Source organism: Homo sapiens, chromosome 7, assembly GCF_000001405.40.
Source record: "Homo sapiens chromosome 7, GRCh38.p14 Primary Assembly".
Classification (NCBI taxonomy): domain Eukaryota; kingdom Metazoa; phylum Chordata; class Mammalia; order Primates; family Hominidae; genus Homo; species Homo sapiens.
Window position 1 is genome coordinate 10,919,949 of NC_000007.14, and position 21,285 is coordinate 10,941,233.

The window sequence follows — 21,285 nt, forward strand, 5'->3', positions numbered from 1 at the left end:
ACTTCTAAACATTCATTCAAAATTCAGTTACCAACTACAAATTAAATTATACTATCACTGAGAAAATGTCTATATATCAAAGCCTCTGCAATTGCTTTATGTTCAATATACTCAATCACTGAATACTTGTAGGCCTATTACATACCAGGTACTGTCAGGCCCTGGTGATACAGTGATAAGCAAAATAGAAACAGACCTTGTCTACATGTATATATAGAAAACCTAAGTGCTGCACTCAAGATGTGTGTAATAGAGAAATAGGAATTTTTTTTTTTTTAAGACAGGGTCTCACTCTGTCATCCAGGCTGGAGTGCAGTGGCACAATCCTGGATCACTGCAACCTCGACTTCCCGGGCTCAGGTGATCTTTCCACCTCAGCCTACAGAGTAGCTAAGACTACAGGCAAGCACCACCACGCCTGGTTAATTTTTGTATTTTTTGTAGAGATGGGGTTTCACTTTGTTGGCCAGGCTGGTCTCAAACTCCTGCACTCCAAGAAATCCACCCCCCTCAGCCTCCCAAAGTGTTGGGATTACAGGCATGAGCCACCACGCCTGGCCAGGGAAATAGGATTTACACGTAACGTTTTTGGAGACATCATAAACAGTAAATCCATGGCCATGTGTTGTGGGAGGTGCAAGGGAAAAAGGAGTTTGTAGATTGTCTGGAAGTCACACTCCAGATGTTAAAATAGAAACAGAACTACAAATAGATAAAGCACTCCCCCCATAAAAGCAAAGAATAAATTCATAAAATATTACCCACTTTATATATTCCCCTCTCCCTGCCACCCCTTCTATGTTTTCACAACACTTGTGAAATTTCTGAGTTGAGAGTAGCAATCATTTTCCTCTCTCCTCTGGCCAGATGTCCCAAGATTTGTGTCTTTCTGCCTAAGTACTACTTCTAATCCGAATGGTCTGATGTATCAGTTGATTATGCCTAACATGGCAGCATGCTTATTCAGATGTACCTTTTTTTGATAGAAATTTTTTTATTTATGAAATACGTATGCAAGAATTGTATCATATCTTTTAAAATGGCAATTTTAGCTGAGATTGAATATCTAGCAAATATATTAGAATAATATCTTATTAACATATTTTAGAATGCTTAAGGAAATTTCAAGATTACAGATTTGCAACAGGATGTAAGAAAAATTTGGAATTCTTGGAGGTTGAAATTATAGGAAACAATCTGTTTTCTCACAGAAAGACAGTATTTGTGAGTTAAACTAAGAATAAATTGGACAATTGGTGTGGCAAAACATGGCCAGTCTTATGTTATAATATCAGAAAACACACACATACACCCACATACTCATAATATAGACCAGTGAAATTAAGGAAAAGATGAAGGAAAAATCATTCACTGATTACTCACTTTTATGTGCTTTTTGTCATTTATTAATTCTATCAGAAAACAATTATTGAGTGACCATGCAAGGCAAAATAGAAAATGAGTGTGTCCCCCAGGACAATGGAAAAACAAGGAACAAAGTGCCACAGAATCCAGGACAAGCACCTTTGAGGAAAAAAAAAAGAGAGCTCTATAGTACCAAATGCAGTGGAGACATTACATAAGACAGGATCCAAAAAATTAGTAATGACCATTCGATTTAGCAATAAGGAGATCAATAACGACCTCAGGGAGGGCAGTATCAGCAGGGTGATGGAGACATAAGCCACATGAGTAGTGAGGAAGAAGAGAAAATAAAGGCAACTCTTTCAAGTTTTGCATATATTAATTTACTCAATATTGCCACCACAAATCCGTGAGACAGATATCATTGTACAGATGTAGAGTGAGTCTCAAAACTGTGTAAAATGGTTATATCAGATACCTCTAGCATGCCACTTCAAATTCTCTCAGCTTCATCTCTTATTCCAGCCACTGCTACAGCAACCAGTTCTAGGCAGGCTTCAACCAGCTTCATGCAAGTGCAACCTGACAGCATCTTGTGCATCTCACCTTGGGCAGGTGCTAAGCACCCCTCACTTCTCTGACTCTGTGATGCACTTGGCACTCATACATGTACAACTCCCAAGTCCAGGGGAATTAATGCCTGTGACACCATCCTTGACCAATGGAAGACAGGAGCCAAAAGATAAAGATTCCCATCCCCTTCATTCTTTAGGCAGAGAGTTCTGTGATGCATTTCATAAGGTTTCTCAGAAGTCTTACAACACGAAACCCCAGTCACCCATTGTGATGGACAACACAACAAACCATCTTTGTGCTGGCTTGTCTTTCTTCCTTGTTTCACCACTCCTCTTCACCACTCCTGATCCCAAATGAACTACCATGCCTGCAAGACTTTGTCTTAGGCTCTGTGTTCTAGAGAGCTCTGAGTAAGACACTGCCAGGGACAAACACCTAATGAGTGACTGTACAGGGACTCAAACCAAAGTATATGATTCCAAACCCCATGTCCTTTTTTCTACATGATTTTTACTTTTTGATTAAGAAAATTACTCTAGTTCCTGGCCAAAACTTTTTAATCTTATGGGAGCTAAATAACGTGTACACACAGAAGCAGAGTGTGGAATAATAGACAGTGGAGACTCACGGGGGTGGTAGGTGGAGAAGGGGTAGATGATGGGAGGTTGATCGGTGGGTACAATGTGCACTGCTCCAGTGATGGATGCACTGAGGGCCCTGACTTCACCATAATGCAATGTATCAATGCAGCAAAATTGCACTTGTACTCCACAAATATATAGAATTTTTTAAAAAATTAAAACAGAAAAAAGGTCAAAACAGCTTAAACAGAAAAGAAGAAATAAATGTGAAGTTGAGTAGAAAAAGGACAAAGTGGAACCTGAGAAGACAAACCAGAACGCACAAGGATGAAGGTGAACCTGTGTGGGACTCTCAATACCTTCAAGCTTCAAAATGTGATGGGATGTGTAGGTGATCTGCAGGAGAAGCTGGTGCACTCTGTTACGGGAAGCTTGAGAAGCTTAAGAAAGAGGGCTGAAAGGAGATGAAGGAGCTACGGGGCTGCTGCTGCCCCAGGCCACAAGGTAAACTAGGAGATAAGGAACAACGTGGATTATCTGTGGCTTTCTTCAAAGCCAAACTCATCTGTCTCAGGAAAAATTTTCCTGGTGCCCTCCACAGACCTTCCAAGTTTAAACAGATCATGGTTGCTGTCACATTTCTTTTTTTTTTTCAAATCTCATGTGAAATACCTCTTGTGGCCCACAGTATTCCTGAATATGCAGAATAGGGAATCCTCAGAAAGCCAGTACCTGCTTAACTAAATTGACACAATACAAACCCACCATACTAACTCTTTTGTTGTGTTGCCCTTCTCCATAGTAGCACCTGCAAACCTGTGTCCACGATATACCCATATACACACACCATAATCTAACAAGACCCCAAACACATGCCTCTATGCTTTTGTATAGACTACTTCTTCGGTCTGGAATTTCTTACCCTTAACCAGGGCCAACTTGATCGGCATGAGATTTGCGTGTAGGCTCTTGTGTTTGCAAGACCCCAAACTTGGTTTAATGTTGTGCTGTCACTGTCTTGTAATTCTTAATATTACAAGGTACTCCAAGTTGCCATTTTGCACTGGGGCCCATAAATTCAACATCTGATGTTGTCCCAGTCTAGCCCTCATCTTTCTGGCAGATTTGCTTCTTCAAAGCCAAATTTACCTGTCATTTGCTCAGGGAAAATTTTCCTGCCCAACAACTCTATCACTCTACACACACAGAAACACACACACACATACACACACACACACACCAGTTAAACAAAAAATCCTTCCTCTGAACTGTGGCTTTTAACTACTGCTTTGAACTTATCACTATGAAAGATCATTGTTTATTTTCCCAACTTAACTGTAAGTTCTTAAAGTGGCTCTCATCTTTGTATTCCTGTGCCCAGCACAAAACTCAGCACATTATGTCAGTTGAGTTAAAAAAAAAAAAAAAGTAAAAACTTTAAAAATAAAAATTTATTAAAAAACAGCAGCTTTCTTATTTGTGCAAAAATCTTAAACCATCTTTTGAGGGGATAGGTGTGGTGGCTCATACCTACAATTCCAGCACTTTGGGAGGCCACACCTGGAGGATCGTTTCAGGCCAAGAGTTCAAGACAAAACCTAGTCAACATAGTAAGACCTCTGTATCTACAAAAATAAATAAATAAATAATTTAAAAAATTGCTGTAGTCCCAGCTACTTGGGAGGCTGAGTTAGGAGGATCACTTGAGTTGAGGCTGCAGTGAGCTATGATTATGCCACTGCACTCCAGCCTGGGCAACAGAGTGAGACATGGACTCCAAAATAAAAATAAAAATAAAAATAAAAATAAACTCATTTTTTCATATTTGTGAAAAGTCTTAAAGCTGTGATATTATGGCATGTACACACATTGGTTTTTGTCCATTGTTCCTGGCTAATAATTCCCATAGCCCTTGTTACAGTCCTTTGTTATGACGTTGGGGCACTTTAAGCCTCAGAAGCAGGCCTCAGAAAACAGAAACTCTCTCTCTCTTAACTTCCCTGGCCCTTCTTTCACCAGCTCAAGGCAGGACTCTAATCTGATCGCAGGTCATAAGACCCTCATTTCAGAAGGGGTTATGCCCCATCCCCTGAAGGAAGGAAAGCTGCACAGAGAAGCCAGTAAGAATGTGAACAGACAGGACTTGCTGGGTTTCCCCACTCAGCCCATTAATATTAGATCATATCTTTTTTGTCCAATCACATTTCTACATGGTTGTCAATCATGCCTATCAAATGAAGTCTCCATAAAAGGTCTCAGAGGACTGGTTTCAGGGAGCTTCTGGATAACTGAATACCTGGAGGTTCCTGGAGGATGTCTGCACTTAGCCAAGCCTTAAAGTATTTACAGAACCAGGAAGGAACCATCTATACCAATTCTAAGTTAAGTTGGACTAAACAAGGTCTTATTAATAGCAAACGATAATTGAAATCCCAAACTTACAAGGTTTTCAACAAAAGTAAAGTTTGCTAAAAGTTAACAGTGTAACATGTATTATCCTAACCTCTAATCTTGTGGCCTTAGACACTCTAGACCGCAGACATGAAGGAAGTTTGTTTTGGAAAAGAATGGTTATCATCTTTGAAAAAAAAAAAGTGGGGGTAGGGAGAATTTATGTAAAAAGAATGTTATATGGTAAATTCTTGTCCTGAAGTAAAGTAACTGGTTGTTTAAAGAAAGGGATGTTCGCAACAAGTCAGAAAGTTGAGGCCTGTCAAAGAATTGTCTGTGAAAGTCATGAAAAAAAAAGTGTGTTATAAAAGGGAATTTATGCAAGAAATGTTGTATAATTTAAAAGTAATCAGGCCTCCAGAATGTAAAACTATTGAAGAAACAGTTTATGTGCAAAGTGTATAAGGAAAGTAAAATATACTTTTGGTAAAAGGATTATAAGGAGGCATAAGAATGTATGGATTTTTACCTACATTAAAGGGTTAAAAAAATTTTTTTTGTTTTGAAGGTTTAAGCAAGTTTTGAAATGTTAATTATAAAGGAAATTCTCTGTGTAAACATATTGCTTTAAGTTAGGGTATCATCCAGTTTTTCTGTGAACTGGACATTAAAATAAAAGCATAACGGGTTTTTCTTAAAGCACTAACCTGCTTTTTAACAAAAATTATAAAAAGTTAAAAAGAGTCTATAAAAATCTTACCTTATGGTCAGACGTTAAAATTGGATAAATATGTCTATAAGGTTTTATTAAAATTGAGTTTAATATTAATAACACACTAATATGGCCGGGCGCAGTGACTCACCCCTGTAATCCCAGCACTTTGGGAGGCTGAGGTGGGTGGATCATGAGGTCAGGAGATCGAGACCATCCCAGCTAACACGGTGAAACCCCGTCTCTACTAAAAATACAAAAAATTAGCCAGGCGTAGTGGCGGGCGCCTGTAGTCCCAGCTACTCGGGAGGCTGAGGCAGGAGAATGGCGTGAACCTGGGAGGCGGAGCTTGCAGTGAGCCAAGATAGCGCCACTGCACTCCAGCCTGGGCGACAGAGCAAGACTCCGTCTCAAAAAATAAAAAATAAAATAAAATAAACCACACTAATATAAAGGTGACATTTAGCTTATCTGGTATAAAAATCATACAGGAAGCATTGTGAAATATAAAATGGTGTTTGGCTTTCTTTGGTCTAAAAACTAATAAAAATAGGTGCTAAAGGAAATTTCTCAGTAAGAAGGCACCAAGAACTATAAAGTCCACTGCTGATGTCCCCACATTTAAAACAAAATATCAATTTCTTAGAAATTATATACTTGGTTTATCTTCCACTTTCCTTTCCCTCAAAACTAAAAGTCTTTTAGCACATGTACCACCCCTAGAATTTCTGGTAAACGAGCACCAGCCTGAGGATCACGTTCTCATCAAAGGATGGAAAGAAGGAAAACTCGAGCCAGCCTGGGAAGGACCCTACCTTGTGCTGCTAACCACCAAGACTACTGTTTGTACAGTGGAAAGGGGATGGACTCATCACACCTGAGTCAAGAAAGCGCCACCCCCTCCAGAGTCGTGGGCCATGGTCCCTGGGGAAAACCCTACCAAACTAAAGCTAAGAAAAATTTAACTCTCTTTCATCTATTCTATTACTCTTTCTTCTTCCCTCGCTCTATTGCTGACCATCTAGTTATAACATAACCAAGTCAATTTCTCCTCAAACTATTACATTTGATGCTTGCCTTGTTATACCCTGTGGGGACTTGCCAAGTCAAAGACAGCTCTCTACTTCAGAAAAGTACCGCTGTCCCTCCTGACTCTCCTCAGACTGGGCCTTAGTAAATTGGGACCATTTAATCTGGGGAGATTTCGATAAAGACTCCAGTGTCAACCAGGAGTCTTGCCCCCCCGATGTAGAGCTTTTATGCTGTAGTTGGTCCAGCAATCAGTGGGCAAGGATGGACTGCCCCAACCAGTTTTTGTAATTTCCTAAAACCATACATTCATTTCCCTAGAGGATCGTAGAAGTTAAAGACTTAAAACAAACTTTGGCAATTAAGACAGGATACCAAGATTCAAATGCCTGGTTGGAATGGATCAAATATTCCATCCACACGTTAAACAAAAGCAATTGTTATGCTTGTGTGCACAGCAGGCCAGAGGCCCAGACTGTCCCCTTTCCACCAGGGTGGTCCTCCAGTCGATCACATGTGGATTTCCAGGATTCTACGGCCTGGAGTAACAAGTTGTGCCAAGCTCTCTCTCTGCTATATCCCAAAGTCCAGCACCCTGTGGGTCAGCCCCTGAGGGTCATCCAGCTTCTGTCTCCCAACACTCAGTTCACTTTGTGTCTCTCACAACAAGGAGGAAACTTAGCGTTCCTTGGAGACCTGAAGGGATGCAGTGAGCTTAAGAATTTTCAAGAGCTTATCAATCAGTCAGCCCTTGTTCATCCCTGAGTGGATGTCTGGTGGTATTGTGGTGGACCTTTACTGGACACTCTGCCAAATAACTGGAGTGGCACTTGTGCTTTAGTCCAGCTGGCCATCCCTTTCACCCTGGCATTTCATCAACCAGAGGAAAGAAAAATAAGACATCATAAGGCAAGAGAAGCCCCTTAAGGGTCTCTCGACTCTCACGTCTATTTAGACACAATTAGAGTCCCACGGGGAATACCAGGTCAATTTAAAGCCCAAAATCAAATAGCTGCAGGATTTGAGTCAATATTTTGGTGGATGACAATTAATAAAAATGTAAATGGATAAACTGCATCTACTACAACCAACAGTGATTTATTAACTACACTAGAGATGCTGTTAAAGGAATAGCTGAGCAATTAGGGGCTACAAGCCAGATGGCTTGGGAAAATAGGACAGCCTTAGACATGATATTAGCAGAAAGAGGAGATGTTTGCATCATGATTAAAACTCAATGTTGTACCTTCATCCCAAACACCGCCACCCCTGATGGAAGTATAACAAAGACATTGGAAGGTCTGACTGCTCTGTCCAATGAGTTAACCAACAACTCAGGGGTAAATGACCCCTTTACAGGCTAGAAAAGTGGTTCAATAAATGAAAAAGAATAATAGCCTCAATTCTTACTCCCCTCATAGCTGTAATGGGTGTACTTATTCTTGTCAGGTGCTGTGTCACACCATGCATCTGTGGGTTGGTGCAGAGGCTCATAAAAATGGCAGCTACTAAAACCTCCCTCAGCTATCCTCCGCCTTATCCAGAGCTTCTTCTTTTGGAAAATCAAGCAAAACAACTAAGCCAAGACATGTTAAAAAAAAGTTTGAAAAGAAAGAGCTGTAAGAAAATGCAAGAGGAAGGGTTGTTAGATATGAGTTCTAAATTCTTTTCAAAGAATCAATATGTCAGTATGTTCAATTCTTTGCCTTCTAGTTTTAAACTTAACTTCCTCATAAAGCAACTTTTTTGATTACCTGCTCCACCCTGGTTCATTCTAATTACCTGTTCCACCCTCATTCTGATTACCTGCTACCTGCCCCACCCTAACTCATTCTCCACCCTGCATAACCATTTTTCCTGCCAAACCACTCACCCCATCACTCTCTTTAAGTTAGCCAATCGGAATTAGTTTAGCCTGTGTGGTCTAACCCTAGCCAGTAGGGGAACGACACAGCAGCAGGGTCCATGTGCCTCAGGGATAAGAACCGCTCCCACTCCCTTGTCCAAGTGTGCGCTCACCATTGCTCCATCTGTAAGGGCACACTCTTCTGTAGAAGTACCTTGCCTTGCTGAGAATTAAAAAGAAATTTTTTTTAAAAAAAGGAAATTAAAAAAAAAGAAAATGCATTTAATACATCTAACCTACCAAACATCATAGTTGAGCCTAAAAACATTTTCAGAACAATTACATTAGCCTACAGTTGGGCAAAATCATCTAACACATCTATATTATAAAATATAGAAGCATATTTTATAATAAAGTGTTGAATATCTCATGTAATTTATTCAATAAATGATCATGTCATAATATGCATATCACTTTTGCACCATTGTAATGTCAAAAAATCATAAGAAGAGCTAACATAAGTTGGGACTGTCTGCATATAACAGGGAAGATTAAATGACTCTTTAGCAAAGTTTTAAAAAGAAGCTTGCAATGTATCTTCACTTAGGATGGAGGTCTGAAAATCTTGTAGAATTAATTCCTTTCTTTTTCTGCTTAGGAACAAACAGAAAAAGGTTATTATAGAGTATACAAGCTGCTGCATTTTACGATTTAAAAACAACAGCAGGGGAAGAGACCTGAGATACATTTTTCCAGATGCTGTTTGTCATTCACATAGCATAAAATAATTCTTTGAACATCAGGCATGGTTTAACTCAGTATCATTTCCAACCTAGGAGAGATGACCTGCATATCAAGATTTTAATTCATTGAGTCACAATGCAAATCAGAGAGGGTAGAACATTATGGCACGCTATGTGGACAGGCATTGCTTTAGCAAACCTAGGGAGAAATAAAATCATCCCACTTCTTAAGACTTACAGCTCTGGTGTAAAAGCCAGTCACCTTGTTCATGTGTTGAAATCAATGATATTTGCAATAAAAAGATTATTTAATCAGATTGTTAACAGCTGAATAAGCTTTTACCAAATAGTCCTTTTCTTTCCAAGTTTTATATAATATGGCTTTTAGAATTTTCCCCGCCAGGCATGGTGGCTCACGCCTGTAATCCCAGTACTTCAGGAGGTCAAGGCAGGAAGATCACGACGTGAAGAGACTGAGACCATCCTGGCCAATATGGTGAAAACTCGTCTCTACCAAAAATACAAAAAATTACCCCAGTGTGGTGGCATGCACCTGTAGTCCCAGCTACTCGGGAGGCTGAGGCAGGAGAATTGCTTGAACCCGGGAGACAGAGGTTGCAGTGAGCCGAGATGGTGCCACTGCACTCCAGCCTGGCAACAGAGCAAGACTCCATCTCAAAAAAAAAAAAAAAAAAAAAAAAAAATTCCAGTTAAAGTTTCTAAAGGAAAAGGATAAATGAATTCCAATGTTTATAATAACTAAGTAACATGTATTCTGCCATGACATATACTAATCCCCTTACCTAAAAAAGCTCATTTAGCCAGATGTGGTGGCTCACACCTGTAATCCCAACACTTTGGGAGGCCAAGGCAGGAGGATTGCTTGAGGCTGAGAGTTCCAGATCAACTTGGGCAACATAGTGAGATGCTGCCTCTACAAAAAAATTAACAACTAGCTGGGTGTGGTGGCACACATCTGTAGTCCCAGCTACCTGGGAGGCTGAAGTGGGAGGATGACTTGAGCCTGGGAGGTGGAGGCTGCAGTGAGCCATGAATGTGCCACTGCACTGCAGCCTGGGTGAGAGAGACCCTTTCTAAATAAATAAATGGAACAGAAAATAGCTCAGGAAACAAAGGGGCATGAGCAAGAGACTGACTAGAAAAGCCAGTGATGTAGGTTAACAAAAACAGTATGGTGTTCTAGGGACCCAGGAAGAGTGTTTCAAGGAGCTGTATCAACTGTTAGGTCAAAGTGATACTGATGATCAACTTGAATTCACAAACAGAGGTCACTGATAAAACCTTAACAGAAGCGTTTTTAGTGGAGTGGTGAGGATAAAATCTGACCAGAGTTGGGTAATAAACTTGAAAGAAGTAAAATTTAGTATAATTATTTTTAGCTTTTTTGGGGGGGAACTGCTCTAGTTTGAATGTATGTCCCCCGCAAACCTCATGAAATTTAATCCCCACTGGGCACAGAGGCATGTCTGTAATCCCAGCTACTAGGAAGGCTCAACGGGGAGGATTACTTGAGGCCAGGAGGCTGCAGTGCACTGTTTGTGCCTTTGAATAGCCACTGCACTACAGCCTGGGCAACATAGCAGGACTCAGTGTCTAAAAGCGGATTAAAAAAAAAGGAAAAAGAAATTTGATCCCTAATGTTGGAGGTGGTGCTTAATGGGAGGTGTTTGGGTAATAAAACAGATTCCTCATGAATGGTTTCATGTAGTCCTCTCAGTAATGAGTGAGTTCTCACTCTATTTGCTCCCAAAAGAGCTGGTCATTAAAAAGAACCTACCACTTCCCCCTTCTCTCTTGCTTCTTGTCTATGTGATCTCTGCACACACCAGCTACCCTTCGCCTTCTATCATGAGTGGAAGCAGCCTGAGGCTTTCACCAGATGTCCAATCTTCCAGCCAACAGAATCACGAGCAAAATAACCCTTTTTTTAATGTATAAATTACGCAGTTTCAGGTATTCATTTATAGCAACAGAGTAAGACAAGTACCTACTGGGAAGCATATATAAATTATGAAAACTGCAAATTTTTAAATACATGTAAATACTACCCAAGGATATCTGTATTTAAATGCAGCTTTGCCTGCAGACTTCATTAACATGAGAAACAAAGGCAGCAGTCTGTTTTCTGAATGAAGCATAGTAGGGCCAGGAGTAGTGACTCTCGCCTGTAATCCCAACACTTGGAGAGGCCAAGGCAGGCGGATCGCCTGTGGTCGGCAGTTTGAGACCAGCCTGGCCAACATGGCGAAACTGTCTACCAAAAATACAAAAATTAGCCAGGCATTGTGGTGGGCACCTGTAATCCCAGCTATTCAGGAGGCTGAGGCAGAATAGCTTGAACTCAGGAGGCAGAGGTTGCAGTGAGCAGTGAGCCAAGATCACGCCACGGCACTCCAGCCTGGGTGACAGAACAAGACTCAGTCTCAAAAAAAAAAAAAAAAAAAAAAAAAAAAGCACAAGCACAATTCTAAACATTCAAAGAAAAAAAGTGTGTTATCTTTCGTGGCAGCATTGGTATCTGATGCATTTGTAAATGACAATTTCTTTAGATTGCCATTGAAGTTTCTTAAATAGCAGTAATAGTTTCTTCATTAAGACATATCCTATTTCATGCCAAACTTCATATGTATTCTTACATTGCAAAGTCCAAGGATAGACACAAAGTAGAAAGATACTACTCAAAGAATTTTTAAGGATGCATAAAATGATCCTCAATTCTAGAAAACGTTATTACTAATTTCTTAATGTAGCATTTATTTGGAGTTGCTTAATGTTTTTCAATTACATGACACACTGTTTGTTTACACAATTTTAAACTTTGAGGTAATTTGTGCCAAAGGATCTAGAGTAATTCTCAACAGAGGTAGGAATGAAGCAATTTTGCCCACCAATGGACATTTGGTAATGTCTCCATTCTTCTCATAGCCTGTGGGAATTGGAGGGAAAGAGTGCTTTTTGTCTGTAGTGGCAGAGCCCAAGTTAGCTACTAAACAAGCTAAAGCGCATGGGATGGTCTGCTAAACCAAACTGTCTTTCAGAAATAGTCAACAGTGGCAAGGTTGAGAAACCCTGTTCTTAGAGGTTCAAATTATACCTGACACATAGGAGGTAAAAGCATGGAGTCTGGTAACTGAAAACACTCTACACACTCTAAATTCAAAACTACATGGGTGTAAATATCCACCATTTGACTAACAGAATGAATTCAAGTAATTCAACTCGTTTAACAATTTCAAAATTTTTGAGATAATCCACGTAATTCAAATACTTAGTTCAGTTCCTGACATTTAAAATGTGCTTCTACTACCCTGTAAACATTTAATTGTATACTTACGTATGAAAATCCAAAATTAATGTCACTGAATTCCTCAAGTTTCTATGATGTGATGACTTACACACACCTATGTGAAAACTTGCTATATTCCCCATCTTAAAATTATGAATATACTTCCTGGCCTTTGAAAACCTGCACCATGGCTAAGCGCAATGGCTCACGCCTGTAATCCCAGCACCCTGGGAGGCTGAGGAGAATGGATCGCTTGAGCTCAAGAGTTTGAGACCAGCCTGGGCAACATGGCAAAACCCTGTCTCTAAAAAAAATTACAAAAATTAACTGGGCATGGTGGCACATACCTGTAGTCCCGGCTACTTAGGGGCTGAGGCAGGAGGATCACTTAAGCCCGGGAGGTAGAGGCTGCAGTGATCCATGTTTGTACCACTGCACTCCAGCCTGGGTGACAGAGACTATCTCAAAAAAAAAAAAAAGAAAAAAGAAAAGAAAACCTGCACCCTGCACCAAGACTCAGCAGCCAAAATTCTCAAGATCTCTTGACTACTAGCACCATGGTTAGCACTGATAAACTCAGATTTCAACTTCAATCCTAGGACCAAAGCAACTTATAACCTTGAAAATCACAACAAAGAGATGCCAAGTAAAAACCATTGTTAAAAACTGCACACACTTCAACAGCCAGTAAGAGAAACTCAAAGGTTTCCATTTTGCCAGTGTCAGATGCTGGAGTATCCTTCCCAATTTACTTTTGTATAATTTCCAGTTCCAGTTGTTATGTATGCTCTAGTGAAGTTACCAACAGTCTATACACAAAATGGAAGTGTTTTACTAAAGCAGCTTAAAGTCGTATTTTCAAACTACAGAAATTCAAGAAATTCTTTAAATTCTAATAGTTAATTTCCTATACTCTAAAGTTCAGAGCATACTTTCAGCATAAAAAAGTGACACATATCAAGTTTCAGTTATTTATTGATTTAATCATTGTAATCTCCAATAGAGATTACAATAGAGATCTCCAACATGATTTCATGCATTTAGAGGAGAAATATTTCCTGGTTAAGTGGAAAATTGTGCGGATGTGGCTTCTGGAAGACCTTCATTCTAAAGCAGCGTTATAGTGAAACATTTCATTTAGAAATCTGGACGTTCCTTCTTCAGCTTGCTGTAATCCACATTCACTGAGTAGAACTTGGAACAGAAAAAAAGATATTTTAAGTAATCTCAAATACACAGAGACGGTACAAAGGTTTTAGAATTCTTTGTATTTGGTTTTCTACAGTAACAATTACAGATATGAATTTTTAAAAGAATATTTAACAACATAAAATCATTCACAGAAAAATACTGTACCTAAAATTCCAGCCTTCAATGATAGTTTTGGCAAGGTAAAAATATTCAATTTATTTCAGAAGAGCAGTATTATAGTACAGTCTACTACTTGGAACCTATAAGGAAAATTCTTTTATTTCAAAGTGAATAATTAAGAATTCCTTCTGATACATACTTCCAATTCGGTAAGTTTTTGCCTTAACTCTACTAAGTACGTGGAAGAATCGCCAACAGAATAGAGGATTAACAAGAATTACCTTCCCTACTTGCTGAATGAACTGCTGTAATTTAGAGGGAGAGATCCTGCAACAAAAAGAGGCTAGTAATATAAGGTACTGCTTTGTTTTGTGGTTTACATAACTTCTAAGATATTTTCTCTCTCTCACTAATTTCCTAATCCAGACTATATTCAATATCAAACTGACACTTCAACTCTGGTAATGGCTTTTAAATAATACGGTATTTTTGCTGTTTACATTTCCAACATTTCTTTATAATCAATTAATATTAATTTTTAGAAATAAATCTTACTGTGATTGCTTTAAAAAAAAAAAAAAAAAACTCCCTCTCTCAGTAACTTAAAAAAAAATGACATATTTGAAACTGGTCCAGAGTTTCTACTAAGGACATATTAATGCTTGTACACAAGCCCAAATAAGGCTAAAATCTTGGGTTTACTCATTCTTGTGCCAAAGAATGCTAAAGAGGTTGTGCTATAATTACTTGAAGACTATGTTATTTATCTCCAAAAGAACCACAATTTCAGAATGATAAACATTTTCTTCAGGGTTTTTAAGCATGAAGTTCACAAATCTATATTCATTCTTTCTTCAAACCCCTTTTATTTCTTCAAATATACCCGAACTTATTTATTTCTGAAAAACTCTTAAGTATTTTACTGACAAAAAAAATCCTCAGGTTGTAAAGCTTATTACCAAGTTATCGTTGAGATACAGACAGATACAGACTTTTATGGACAGAAAATTATAAATAATCCATAAAGCAGTATTCTTTGTTCTGACAGTGTTCTTTTAAGAAACAATTAACCTAGACAATAAGGTTAAAAAAAGAAAAAGAAACTACTTGTGCTATCCTCTAACATATTAACAAAATATCAGAAATAATTTACAGAAGGGTCTGCAGGTATATATTAAGGACAGGAAAATAAACACTTGTTGGGCTCCTGCCCAGGCACCGGGCTAGATGCTTTATGTATATCTTAGTTAATCATCACAATAACCCTTCTGATTCTTAATTTATAAAAGAGGTAATTGAGATCAAGTTCTACGATTTGCAGGATCAAGGCCCTACACCCACGCAGAGTCAAAAGCACATTCATGGCATTGTTGCCAATTTTCTTAAAACTAAGCAGGCTCCTGATTTACTTGCTTCATATCCAAAATTCTCTCTAGAATTTTAAAACCTGCTTTCAACTTCCCTACCTCTATTCTTTTTCTCAGTTTAATGCTGGCTACTTTTAGAGTCTCTGAAACAATAGTTGGGAAGGCACAACATATTCTGATCTTAGCTTTGGGGAGCTTCAACTGTTATTCAGTTGAGAAGTATTGCTGGGCCTTTAATGCTCAAATCTTATTTTGGTCCTGTCTCTTGCTGTTTTATTCATAGCTTTTGCTAGATTATAGCATGGCAACAAATAATCCTCTGCTACGGACTGAATGTTTATGTCCTCCCAAAATTCATGTTGTAACCTCAAACGCCAATGGTGATGGTATTTGGAGGCTGGGCCTTTGAGAGGTAATTAGGTCATGAGGGTGGAACACTCTAACTAGTGCCTTTACAGGAGGGCTCACTCCTCTCCTTCCATATTGTGAGGACACAACTGGATTGGGCCCTCATGAGGAACAGAATTGGTTGGCACCTTGATCTGGACTTCCCAGCCTCCGGACTGAGGAATAAATTTGTTGTTTAAGCCACCTGGTCTACAGTATCTTGTTACGGCAGCCCAAATTAACACATTCAAATCTTAGCGGCTTACAACGACAAAAGTTCACTTTTCACTCACATTATATGCCATCTGTATGCTGATTGCTCCATATTTGTTTCATTCCAATTCTAAGGTGAATAAGTAGCCCTTACTTGTCAATTTTGGTCTCATGAGAGAAGCAAAAGAACGGAGGGACCACATAATGGTCCAAGAGTGGCAGGTATCATTTCCTCCAACTCATAATTTCCCACAGCAAGTCACAAATCAAATCTGATGTCAGTGGGCCAGAAAAACATATTCTCTTAGGTGAGAGATTGTGAATGATGGAGATAATAATCTAGTCTACCTGAATGGGTTTAGAAAAAGTATTAAGTAGGTTTCATTTACTCCAGCTTCTCAAGTTTCTGGATTTGGTTCCTTTTCATTTCTGTCATTTCATAACATGACACTCTTCATCTTTCCAGACTCTGCTATCAGTGTCATAGCTATTAACAGCTATGTTGTTACAGCAACATTTCATTTTCGGTTCCCAAGGCCTCATATTGGCATGTGTTGTGATATTTCAGAACATTAGTAGACTGGCTGCATTATCGGAATCATCTGTTACACTTTTTGAACTACACATACCCATAGATTCCAATACGCTCTTTGGTGGAAGAATCAAAGCCTGCTAGTTTTTTTGTTTGTTTGTTTACTTTTTAAAAGTTTCTTGTATGTGGAATTATTTTCTCTGGAATGGACTTAGTTTAAACAAATTCATAAACAATGTCATAAGACATAAAAACAAATCAGGATGCCCGTTTATCTTTTTAGAGGCAAAATATAACACAGATGAGATCGATGTTTCAGCTTAGCCATTGCATTTTTATTTTCTTCTTGTAAGGAGATTTACTGAAGGATTTAGAAGCCAAATTATAATCAGGTTAAGGGGAAAACGTGAAATCCACAAAGGGTGATGTTAAAAGTTGCTATCAGGCTGCGGGCACAGTGGCTCACGTCTGTAATACCAGCACTGGGGGGTTGAGACAGACGGATCAACTTGAAGCCAGGGGTTCAAGACCAGCCTGGCCAACACGGCAAAACCCCATCTCTACTAAAAACACAAAAAATCAGCTGGGTGTGGTTGTGCGTGCCATAGTTCCAGCTACTCAGGAGAGTGAGGCAAGAGAATCACTTGAGCCTGGGAAGTGGAGGCTGTAGTGAGCCAAGATAATGGCACTGCACTCCAGCCTGGGCGACAGAGTGAGACTCTGTCTCCAACAACAACAACAAAAAAACGTTGCTATGAGTAATAATCCATCATAGATGTACACCTGTCAAGCAGTGCTGGACACACACTGATCGGGGACCCTGTTCTTCAGAGTGATAAATCAAACAGCCAGTTACTCTCTTTTGATGAAATGGCTTGATATTATGGAAAGTGCATTGAGTGAGTTATAAACTTTAAACACGTCAACTGTATGGTATGTGAATGGTATGGTATCTTAATGAAGCCGCCCTTGGTTTTTTGGGTTTTTTTTTTTAGACAGAGTCTGGTTCTGTTGCCCAGGTTGGAGTGCAGTGGCGTGATCCTGGCTCACTGCAACCTCCACCTCCCAGGTTCAAGCGATTCTCCTGCCTCAGCCTCCCGAGCAGCTGTGATTACAGGTACCTACTACCATGCCCAGCTAATTTTTGTATTTTTAGTAGAGATGGGGTTTCACCATATTGGCCAGGCTGATTTCCAGCTCCTGATCTCAAGTGATCTGCCCGCCTCAGCCTCCCAAAGTGCTGGGATTACAGGCATAAGCCACCGTGCCTGGCCTGCCCTTGGTTTTGATGCTGTGCAGGGTCTTTGTATGCAAAATTTTTTACACATAAGGAAGGTTATGTTTGGGGAATCAATAAATGGTCTCAGTCCATGAAATCATTCTCTAGAAGAGTAGTTCCACAGACTACTCTAAATTCTCATGCCCCACAAAAGACCAGCTGAATCAGAATCTCTGGGGATAAGGCTGAAGAATCTGTGTTTCAACAAGCTCTATGTATAATGAAGTTTGAGAACACTGTGTTAGACTACCTAAGAACTAAGAAAATGGTAAATGATAGCTATACTATTTTTCCTTCTTTTCTTATACTAGCAATTAAATACCTAGCAAAAAATATTTATTAGAGCAATATACCATTTTCATTTCACAGAACTACCTAACAGCTCTTTAAAGTTCAATATAATGGAATTTTACTCGTATATCCAGTTTCAAGAAAACCCACCCCATGACAAAACTTATTACAACACAATTTCTAACAACTTTAAAACAATTTTGTAGTTTACCTTGTATTGATCATTGGGACCCAGTTTGTTCCAGGGCTCTGGGTTATTTCTGTCCCAACTAAAAGAAATAAAACATTACGACTGTTATAATAATAAAGCACTATTTAGTGTTTTGTACTAAGAATACATTTTTGAACAGATCAATCTTATTTTCTATTAGATGAGGTATGGTGTTATTTCATTATGAAGTTGAAACAGGTAGAGGATCTATAATAAGCAATCTCATGTAATCAATTAGAAAAAAGGTAGAACACAGAATCCCTATCACAAGATACTTTTTATCTGGCTTTCACAAAACCTTTCCATTTAATTAATAAAGTGATATACAGAAAAGTGCATAGAATAATGATGAATCAATCTTTTGATTGTCTATTGTTTTTCAACTGCAAATGTGCAAGTGAAGGCAAAAAACATTTACATGTGCCGAGAACCATGATTATTTTATAAAAACAATTATTTTTATGTCAATCCTCAAAACATTACAAGATTTGGTATTAGCAGTTCTACTTTACCAAAGAGAAAACGAGACTCAGAGAAATTAGATAATTTCATGAACCAAAAAAAGTAAATGAAAACAGCAGATTTGAGATCTGAACTTATTGTATGACTGTAAATGTAACATTCTTTCTACTACCCTAATGTTATCGCCCTACAGAGACTGTGGCTCCTAAACTGCCTTGATCAGCTATCAAAGTTTTAAACATTTTTAAGTACTTACCAAACATCTGGATTGAACAATGCCAGACGCAAGAGATACAGTGTTGCTCCAGTAGCTCCAGTTCCAATAAATACAAAGAGGGGGATCAACTAAACCAAACACAAAATAGAATAACCATCTTCAAATACTTAAAACACTGGCCAACGAGAGATTACAGTAGTTTCTGCACATTGATTTCCAAGTCTCAAACTGTTATTGGACTGTTTTGTCTTAAAATTTAAATAAAGTAGATCTTACATTGAGGTAAGATTTCTTATAACTGTGTTCTAAAGAAAGAAATGGAATTTGGAAAGGATGTTAAGATGACTCTGGTTTAAGTGTCTTACTTTTTAATGTGGAGCAAATTATAGGTACATTTTTAAATTTCCAAGAAAATGTATCGAGTCTTCTTCACCTCTCTAATATTTACATGTCATTCCCATTAAATTTTCTGGCTTCCTTTATCCTGGGGCTTGAAAAACAAATTCTTTGCAAATTATTTAAGGGTGCCTCTATAAAGATGTATGAAAAATAGAATCTGAATAAGTAAACGTATCTATTACAAATACTGGCTTTAAGCATTATCTCTGAAAACGTAATGCTACCAATGCTTGCTGCGTATTTAGGGAACCGGATTTAAGACAGATTAAAGATTGCATAGACTTTTAGCTCTACAGCACATTGATGTGCTGAGGAAAAATGAGATGCCAAAGAACTTAACTGCAATTTCCACACTTCGAAATTTTCCCAAAAGCAACGACGTCCAGACAAAGTGAGGATTCCAAGATCACGGACCCCTCTTATTTACCAAAAGGCCTGGTGGTGCAATGCGGCGAATACAAGAACCTCCAGAGATGGTATAACACATAGGGAACCTGACCTATGCTAGTCTCTGACCCACACAGCGCACATCTATCCCTCCTGGACCGCACAACCTGCAAAAGAGAGCGGCCACCAGACTGTTCCAATATTCACTAACTAGAAAAAACTAGGTTTTTTTTCCGAGCAGTGTCCGTCTCCTTCCTCCTGTCAGACAAAACCCCACAATGCATGGCGTAGAGGGTCACAGAGGCCTGGGACAACTAAGATGACAAACACTAGGCGAGGCAGGGTCTGGTCTGACGGACGGTAAGTGGCTGTAAATGAGGACGTTCCCAGGGAACAGAAAGAGGCGCACCCCGACGCAAGAAGGACAAGGGAAAACATTAGGAGAGCGGTCACGAACTTACGCTCGGATGCTTCTTGGCCTGACCGATGATCTGGCGGAGCATGTTTGCGGCAGAGGTCTCCGACTGGAAAGGAGAGAACCGACCTAGCCACCAGGCCCTAAGCTAAAAATTATCTGCAATGAGACACTACGGACTTCCAAAGTCACCCAGGACCTCCTACCTGAAGGACCCTTGGCTGGGAGGGCAGCTTGCGGCAGGAGGGCCCGGATGCGACTGTCTTTAATAGTGCCTGCTTAGATCTAACCCCTCATATGTTCGTCCTGACCTGGTCGGACCATCATCATTCCACTTCATAGTGAAATGCCTTCATTGCCGTGCCATGCATATTTCTGAGGGGAATTTTTTTGGTCGAAACGAGGACTCTTCGATTGACCAGACAGGCACTTTCCAAGGGTGCCACGTACTGAGGAATGCGGTCGGAGCGTGGGCGCACGGGCCGCGCGCTCCGTGAGTAGGGGGCCTCTCCCGCGGCGCCTGAGAGCCGGGTCCGCGCGCAGAGGCCCTGGGGGCGCGCGTGCCGGGTGCGCGCTGGCCAGCTGTGACTGCCGCTGAGGGAGCTGCGCGGCGCCTCTGGGAGCCGAGCGCCGGGCGCCTGGAGGGCAGGTCGGGCCTCTTGCCGCTAAGGTCAGCGGCTGCGGTTTGAGAAGACTGCAGCTGCTTCCTGTGTTACGCTGTCGCAGACAAGCAGAAGTTAAAAACTAGTAAATGACTTAAAGGTGATAATAGTCCTGGCAGTGTATTTCTGAACCCTCAGATCCTGGCCCTCGGTTGAAAGTTCGTCGCCACAAAGACCTTTCCAACACGCCACTATCCCCCGTCCCTGGTCCCAAATTGCATCTTTAAAATGTGTTTTCAATGGTCGTGTAGCTACAGATAATCTTTCCCACTACCCCAGTCGAATTTTCATTTGTCTTTTGTTTTGTTTTCTTCGTTGTTTTTTTTACCCGAAGGACTTCCATAGGACAGGCTTTGCGGGGGAGGGTGGGGGGATTGGGATAAAATGTACACTCTGAACCCTCTCCAATCTCATACGTAGCTTAAAGCATTAATCAAATGATCAAGCAAGTATTAATAATTGGGACTAGAAATCATAGGAGAAGGCTCCACCGGAAGTTACACTAGCTCTGAAGGAGGAGCGGACATTAACCAGGTGAAAACGGAGGATGCAGGTGTACAGGGCGGAGGTAATAACACGTGAAGGTCTGAAGCTATTGAAAA

General features: G+C 39.8%; 1 protein-coding gene and 1 long non-coding RNA gene across 2 annotated transcripts in view, besides 4 other annotated features; one reads left to right on the forward strand and one right to left on the reverse strand.

The window, feature by feature from the left end:
* On the reverse strand, positions 11,995-20,205 carry COXFA4 (cytochrome c oxidase associated subunit FA4). Its single transcript, NM_002489.4, has 4 exons — positions 20,068-20,205; positions 18,860-18,948; positions 18,142-18,199; positions 11,995-13,744 (listed from the first exon to the last, which is right to left on the reverse strand). Exons 1-4 carry the CDS (start codon positions 20,107-20,109, stop codon positions 13,688-13,690), a joined length of 246 nt encoding a protein of 81 aa, NP_002480.1. The 5' UTR covers positions 20,110-20,205; the 3' UTR covers positions 11,995-13,687.
* Positions 20,188-20,457: an enhancer, noted in NCBI's record as "active region_25659". NCBI's record gives its function as "activates an Ori minimal core promoter by ATAC-STARR-seq in GM12878 lymphoblastoid cells {active_cell/tissue: GM12878}" and the evidence as "EXISTENCE:reporter gene assay evidence [ECO:0000049][PMID:35858748]".
* Positions 20,188-21,262: a biological region, named in NCBI's record as "NANOG-H3K27ac-H3K4me1 hESC enhancer GRCh37_chr7:10979917-10980837".
* LOC107986767 (uncharacterized) overlaps positions 20,308-21,285 on the forward strand; it is a 28,179-nt gene continuing 27,201 nt past the window's right edge. The window contains exon 1 of the long non-coding RNA XR_001745091.3: positions 20,308-20,783. This is a non-coding gene — a long non-coding RNA (uncharacterized LOC107986767). The remainder of the gene's footprint in view (positions 20,784-21,285) is intronic.
* Positions 20,342-21,262: an enhancer, noted in NCBI's record as "NANOG-H3K27ac-H3K4me1 hESC enhancer chr7:10979917-10980837 (GRCh37/hg19 assembly coordinates)". NCBI's record gives its function as "activates a minimal SCP1, AML or CMV promoter by ChIP-STARR-seq in naive H9 embryonic stem cells {active_cell/tissue: H9 hESC(naive)}" and the evidence as "EXISTENCE:reporter gene assay evidence [ECO:0000049][PMID:30033119]".
* Positions 20,488-20,737: a silencer, noted in NCBI's record as "silent region_17972". NCBI's record gives its function as "represses an Ori minimal core promoter by ATAC-STARR-seq in GM12878 lymphoblastoid cells {active_cell/tissue: GM12878}" and the evidence as "EXISTENCE:reporter gene assay evidence [ECO:0000049][PMID:35858748]".